Here is an 8,055-nt window from a genome sequence, read left to right as displayed (position 1 = left end):
CTACACTTACATCACATAAAGATACTTTAAGTCAAAAACAGTTAAAAAAAAAGACAAAGAACATCATTATATAATGATAAAGGGATCAATCCAGCAAAAGGATATAATATTCTAAATATGTATGCCCCCAACACACTGGAGTACCCAGATTTATATATCAAATATCACTGGATCTAAAGAGAGAGAGAGAGACTCCAATACAATGATAGTTGGGGATCTTAACACCCCACTCTCAGCATTAGACGGATTATCTAGACAGAAAATCAACAAAAAAAATATTGGATTGAAATTGAACCTTAGACCACATGGACTTAAAGACATTTTATTCAACAGCAGCAGAATACAATTCTTCTCATCAATGCATAAAACATTCTTCAAAATAAACCCAATGTTGGTGACAAAACAAGATTCAACAAATTTTACTAAATTTAAATCATATCAAGTACCTTCTTAGACCACAGAGGAATAAAATTAGAAATCAATACCAAGAGAAACTTTGGAAACTATACAAATACATAAAAATTAAAGAACATGCTTCTAAATGGCCATTGGCTCAATAAAGAAATTAAAATAATTTAAAAATTTCTTGAAACAAATGACAATGGAAACACAACATACCATACTAAAACCTGTGTGATACAGCAAAAGCAGCACTAAGAGAAAATTTTCCACAACAAATACCTACATCCAAAAAAAGGGAAATATTTCAAATCATCTAACAATGCACCTCAAGGAATGAGAAAAACCAGAATAAACCTAACTCAAAATTAGCAAAAGAATGGAAATAATAAAGATCAGAGCAGAACTAAACCAAATAGAGGCTAAAAAGAATGATGAATTAAATGAAAAATTGGTTATTTGAAAAGGTAAGCAAAATTGATAAACCGCTAGGTAGACTAACCAAGAAGACAGAAGACCCAAATAAACAAAATCAGAAATGAGAAAAGAGACATTAAAGCTGATACCAGAGAAATGAAAAAGATAATCAGAGACTATTGTGAATACTAACAAACTGGAAAACCTAGAGAAAATGGATAAATTCCTAGAAACTAGGAAATCTGAACAGACTAATAATGAGTGGTGAGATTGCAGCAGTAATAAAAAGTCTCCCAAAAAAGAAAAGCCCAAGACCGGATGGATTCACTGCATAATTCCACCAAATACATAAAGAAGAATTCATACCAATCCTCCTGAAACTATTCTAAAAAATTGAAGAGGGGGGAATTCGCCCTAAGTCATTTGACAATGCCAGCATCACCCTGATACCAAAACTAGACAAGAGCACAACAAAAAAGAAAACTACAGGCCAATATTCCTGATGAGTATAGATGCAAAAATCCTCAAGAAAATACTAGCAAACTGAACCCAACAACACATCAAAATGATTATATACCATAATCAAGTGCATACCAAGGATGCAAGGATGGTTCCACATATACAAATCAATAAACATGATATATCACATCAATAGAATGAAGGACAAAAACCATATGATCATCTCAATACACCCAGAAAAAGCATTTGATAAAATTCAAAACCCCTTCATGATAAAAACTGTCAACAAACTAGGCATAGAATGACAAACACGCAGCTAACAACATACTGAATGAGGAAAAGTTGAAAGCCTCTGCTCTAAGAATTAGAACAAGTCAAAGATGCAGACTTTCACCACTTCTATTCAACATACTACTGGAAGTTCTAGCCAGAGTAATCAGTCAAGAAAAAGAAACAAAAGGCATCCAAATTGGAAAAGAAAAAGGCAAATTGTTCTTCTTTGCAGATGATGTGACCTTATATTTAGAAAAAAAACAAAAGTTTCCATCAAAAGCCTCTTAGAACTGAGAAATTTGCTAAAGTTGCAGGATACAAAATCAACACATAACAATCAGTAGTGTATCTATGCACCAATAATGAAACCCAAAAAAGAAATCAAAAAGGCAATCATATTTACAATAACTACACAAATAAAATAAAATAAAATACCTAGGAATAAATTTAACCAAAGAGGTAAAATATATCTACAAGGAAAACTACAAAACACTGATTAAAAAAACCGAAGACACAAGCAAATGGAAACATTCCATATTTATGAATCAGAAGAATAATTATCATTAATATGATAAACACTGCCAAAAAACAGTCTACAGATTCTATGCAATCCCTATCAAAGTACCAACATCATTTTTCATAGAAATAGAAAAAAAAATTCTAAAATTTACATGGAACCAAAAAAAGAGCCCAAATAAAAAAGCAATCCTGAGTAAAAAAAAAAAAAAAATACCTGGAAGCATCATATTACCTGAAAACATATCACAAGGCTATAGTAACCAAAACAAAATAGTATTGGTGTAAAAATAGACACATAAACCAATGAAACAGAATAGAGAACTCAAATAAATCCACAAATTTATAGCCAACTGATCTTCGACAAAGCCATTAAGAATATACATTAAGGAAAATACATCCTCTTCAATAAATGGTGCTGGGAAAACTGGATAATCTCATGCAGAAAGATGAAACTGGACACCTATCTCTCACCATATACAAAAGTCAACTCAAGATTCATTAAAGATTTAACTGTAAGACCTGAAACTATAAAACTACTAGAAGAAAACATAGGGCTGTTCAGTACATGGGTCTAAGCAGTGATTTTATGGCTAGAACTCAAAAGCATAGACAGCAAAAACAATAAGAGACAAATGGGACTATATCAAACTAAAAAGCTTCTGCACAGCAAAAGAAACAGTCAATAGAGTGAGGAGAGAATATCTTGAAAGGGAGAAAATGTTTGTAAACTCCTTTATGTGACTAATATTCAGAACATACAAGAAACTCAACAGTAAAAAAAACCGACAATAAATAATCCCACTAAAAATGGGAAAAGGACAAAAATAGACATTTCTCAAAATAAGACATACATATGGCCACCAGGTATATGACAAAATGCTCAGCATCACTAATTATCAGGGAAATGCAAATCAAAACCACAATGAGACATCATTACACTGCAGTTAGAGTGGCTATTATTAAAAAGACAAAAAACAACAGATGATGACAAATAAAAGACAAAAAACAACAATGGTGAGGATGTGGAATAAAAGGAACTCTTATACACTGTTGGTGGGAATGTAAATTAGTACAACTTCTATGGAAAGAAGTATGGAAATTAAAAAATAACTGGAAATAGAACTACCATATGACCCACCAATCCCATTACTATTTATCCACAGGAAAAGAAGTCAGCATATCAAAATGATACCTACATTCGCACATTTATCACAGCACTATTCACAGCAGTAAAGACATGGAATCAACCTAAGTGTCCAACAATGGACAAATGAATTTTAAAAATGTGTGTATACATAATGGAATACTATTTGGCCATTAAAAAGAATAAAATCATGTCATTTGCACCAACATGAATAGAACTGGAGGTCATTATGTTAAGTGAAATAGCTAAGGCACAGGAAGACAAATGCCTCACATTCTCACTCATATGTGAAAGTTAAAAATTTTTATTTCATGGACACAGAGAATAGAATGACAGATACCAGAGACTGGGAAGAGTGGGTGGATGAGAGGGGGAATAAAGAGAGGTTGATTAATGGGTACAAACATATAGTTAGCTAGAAGAAAAAAGTTCTAGTGTCTGATAGCCAACTAGGGTGACTGTACTTAGCAACACTATTTTGTGTGTTTCAAAGTAACTAAGAAGAGAGGACTTGAAATGATACCAACACATAGAAATGATAAATACTCAAGGTGGTGGATACTCCAAATACCCTGACTTGATCATTACACAATTTATGCATGTAAGAAATACTCACATGTGCCCCACAAATATGTAAAATATTATGTATCAATAAAAGAAAAAAATTCCCCCATACATAAAAGCAACATGGTACAGTAGAAACATCAGTTGCTCTGGAATCTGAGAGAGCTGGTTCTAAATCCAAGCTCGTTCATTAATTAATTGTGTGCGAGCCCCTACCCTTAAAATTTCTTATCTATCAGATTGTGATAACACCTATTTCTTGGCACTATAGAGATGATTAGAAGTTAGTAAGAAATATATATATATTCCATCTTAGGCACAGATAAAGGAGAAAACTTTGGAGAATCAAAGGCATTACTTAAACTCCCTCACCAGTACACAACTTTCACATACTTTCTTTCTTCATGTTCTTTTCCTATAATCTTATATTTCTTTTTCTATTTTTCTCCCCAAAAATGACTCAATATGTAGAAATCCTACCTTATAAAATCCACTTTGCAGATAGGGTTTACAGACAAAAAGTTCTGTCACTGGGTTAGGGGGCTTTCTTCTCAACTTCTGTGTAAAGCTGGGTCTTGGCCCTACAGTCAGAAAGGTAGTGTATCAGTCCATTTTCACAGTGCTATAAAGAACTGCCTGAGACCGGGTAATTTAGAAAGGAAAGAGGTTTAACTGACTTACAGTTCTGCATGGCTGGGAGGCTTCAGGAAACTTACAATCATTGTGGAAGGCAAAGCCTTTATCACAAGGTGGCAGAAGACGAGTGGGCAGGGGAAACTGCCACTTTAAAACCATCAGGTCTCATGAGAATTCCCTCACTATCATGAGAACAGCATGGGGGAAACTGCCCCCACGATCCAGTCACCTCCCACCTGTTCCCTCCCTTGACAGGAAATGAGAATTGGGTGGGTTCACAGAGCCAAACCATTTCAGGTAGGGGGCATGAAGTACATGTTGGGGAGAGCACAGGCCTCATCCCTCCCTCACCCTGATCGTCCGTCAGTACTATCATCAGAAGTGTGAAGCTGATATGAACATTCTCCAGGGTAGCAATCACTTCATTTATTTCTTTGCAGAACAACTGTATTTGGGGCCCCTGCTGCACCCCTGCCCTTTAAGTAATAAGTTTCAGATTTCGGATGTCATTCTCTTAAAATGGTTTGTCACTACCACACATGTGCACCTTAGCTTCTCACACCCCAAACCTACTCTGTCATCAACACTGACCAGAAGTTATCAGTTTTAGATTTTATAGTAAACTAAACTTAATAAAATATTTTAATGAAAAATAATATACATACCCAAATACATCAATCTTAGTTCTTTGTAGGAATATTACTTTGTTAAGAGAGCATAAGCAAGCTATCATTTATTGAGAATTCACACCTTCTGGTATCTCTTTATTGTATAGAGAAAATTTCTGAATTTATTTCACTGTTCCATTCTTTGGCATATGTGAAGGTGATATTTTACAGGAGTTATGCAACATCCAAGGCTGGACAAGGCAATTCTTACAGATATTGTTGGTTTGCCTACATTATAAGCCCAATAACTCTGCTCATGGATCCATGCCAAAATTACAGTTTTCAGAAACTTCTGCAAAAGGATTTAAACAGTTTTGTGCCTTGCCACCAAAATGTGTGTTCATTTTCCTACACCTCCACGCCTGGCAGTATTTCAGCCCAACATTTGTTACAGTATTTTCAGTTCATCTTGTTTATTTTCTGCTTTATTTTTTCCCTTCAGGTACATTTTATGTGCAAAAGCAAAGTTATCATTCCCCATGTGTACTGCTACTGTTTAGCCCTGCTCCTAAGCCATATTATTCTTAACTAAAATACACTTTAAAATAACGTGGTCAGCAGGGTTTAACATTTTTACTTCCAGCCTCAACTGTTGTAGCCCATGTCCAGAATAGTATTTGTTAGATCTCAGATCCATAGGGCAAAATTGCAGAAATATTACTAAAAGTGAGTATTTGATATAAAATATTGTTTCTGAAAACGCATGTTTTAAAATATTGATGAGATGTCAGTATTGCAATAGGATAGGGAATGCATTGTTAAAAGGATGCAGTGTGACAGTGTACAAGAAGCTCAGAATGTGAAGTGAAATGGTCTAGATTAGTCGTTCTCTCCCACTAAGTTCCTGGACCAGAAGTATCAGCACCACTTGGAAACTTGTGAAAAATTCAGTCTTGCGCCTTACCCCAAACTAACTGAATCAGAGAGTCTAGGGGTGGGATCCAGCAATCTGTCTGTTACCAAGTCTCTGGCCGACTCCTACCCCATGGATCTGACACATGCTGTGTGAGCATCAGTGGTTATTTTCAAACCTCAGATCAGCTGCTAACTCTATTTGTGGCCTTGAAAAAGTAACCTCTCTGAGCATTAGTTTCCCACTCCATGTTCTCTCTCTCCATCTTCCTTTCCTGTACTCTGACTGTTTAGAGTCAAGAAGGCAGGTCTGCTGGTGAAACTGATGTCTAGCTGGGGAACGATATGCCAGCTTCCACTTCTTGTAGATGCCCCAATATTCACATGAGATTTTCTTGACTCCCTTTGGGTTTGGAGTTTATTTTGTGGATTCTCTGAACTGGCCCTTCCCAGTAAAACTGTAGAGAAAGTGGCTAGGCCCCCAAATTGGGGGTCCCTTGGACTCAAAATATAAAACACAAAATGCAGAATCCTTTGTCTTCATCCATGAGCCTTCACTATAATTCCAGAACCACAGGAAACACTTCCATTCACCATTCTGCTATGTTGGCAACATGTGGATAATTATACACTGTATTCTCCATTTTGCAGAATTATTGTGAGGGTCAAATGAAAGAAATGATTATGGAAGTACTTTAAAAACTGTAGAGCACTACACAAATGCTAGTTATTGTTGTAATCTAATACTCTAGAGAATTTTTTTCTGTTTCTGTTTCTCTATCCTTTATAATTCTAGTCTCAATAAAGAAAATGAGGCCTCTTCCCTTACCTGTAAGTATTTAATTGTTGATTGCATCACTCTCATTTCTGTTTTACGAGGCAATGATAGTAAGGCCTCTTTTGGTTGTGAATAGCAGAAATCCATCACAGACTTGTGTAATCCAGAAATGGGGAGACAATGAGGGTAACCCACAGAAACAAAGGAGGGGCTGTAAGAAGCAAGGCCTTGGGCTCTGGAATAAGACAGTCAACACTGCCGTGGCTTTTTCTCTCCTGCTGCAGCTCTCATCTCTGTCAGCCTTTCACTTTGCTTTTAGCACTAGCCTGTTTCTCCTACTCCAGCCAGGTTATCACCACGTGGCAGAGAACATGACCACAAGCAGCCGAGGTTCAACAACATTTGAGGAAGGAGATGGCATCTGTTTCTCACTGTGCATATATGGATCCCAGGGAGAAACTCTGATTGGACCAAGAGTATGGGTACAGTTCTGGGTCATGTGACCTCTCCTGAAGAATGAGTAGGCGGCAGCTCCTGGAGTACATAGTGTATCACCAGAAGAAAGATCTGGGGGAAGCTTATTAGGACTACCAAAAAAGCTAGCTGGCTAACTAGCTAACAAATCCCTCCACAAGAATTATCTGGGTACAGTCAATTCTGTTACAGGGCCTGAGAGGAGATTTCTGTATCCACTTCCAGTGGTTTACATTAATACAGAAAAGGACTTACAATGCTAATATACAAAATAATGCGAAAGTGTCTTTCTAAGCCTAAAACCCAAGCCATAAATAAAGGTTCCTTTTTTTTTTTTCAGTAGAATCCAGCCAGTCATGTAGCTTATTATTTGTCAGTAAACAAAATCTAGATAAGAAATGAAACCCACAATACTGAGGTTGTAAGGAGCGAGGAGGTGTACCTGCCCTCATGATCCCATTGGCCCAGGAGTTAATCAATCAAGCATGTTGATAATGCATTCCACGCTTCCTCGTGGCAATTTCCATCAAGGAAAAGACAAATGACAAGTTTATGGTTTTATGTGGCTTTTATACAAAACTGCATAGCTTCTTTCTGAAACGCAGACGACATATACTCAAATAATGTCTATGCCCTTTAAAATACTAAAGTTTGACTAGGACTTGATCTTTCTTCTTTAGATCAAAAACATCTAGCATTTCTTCCAAACTACATGTAACAAGAGACTACAGCTTCTTAAAACAAAACACACATGGGCGAGTGGCGCAGTGTAAATTTATGGCTGAGAGAGGCAATGTTTGAAAAGTCGAGGATTCCCTAAGAGTCGTGGTGGCAACAATTTATGAATTTATATGTTGTTCCAGATTAAAGTA

This window comes from Homo sapiens, chromosome 9 (genome assembly GCF_000001405.40).
Source record: "Homo sapiens chromosome 9, GRCh38.p14 Primary Assembly".
Classification (NCBI taxonomy): Eukaryota; Metazoa; Chordata; class Mammalia; order Primates; family Hominidae; genus Homo; species Homo sapiens.
The sequence above is the reverse complement of the archived record's forward strand: the minus strand, read 5'-3'. Positions refer to the sequence as shown.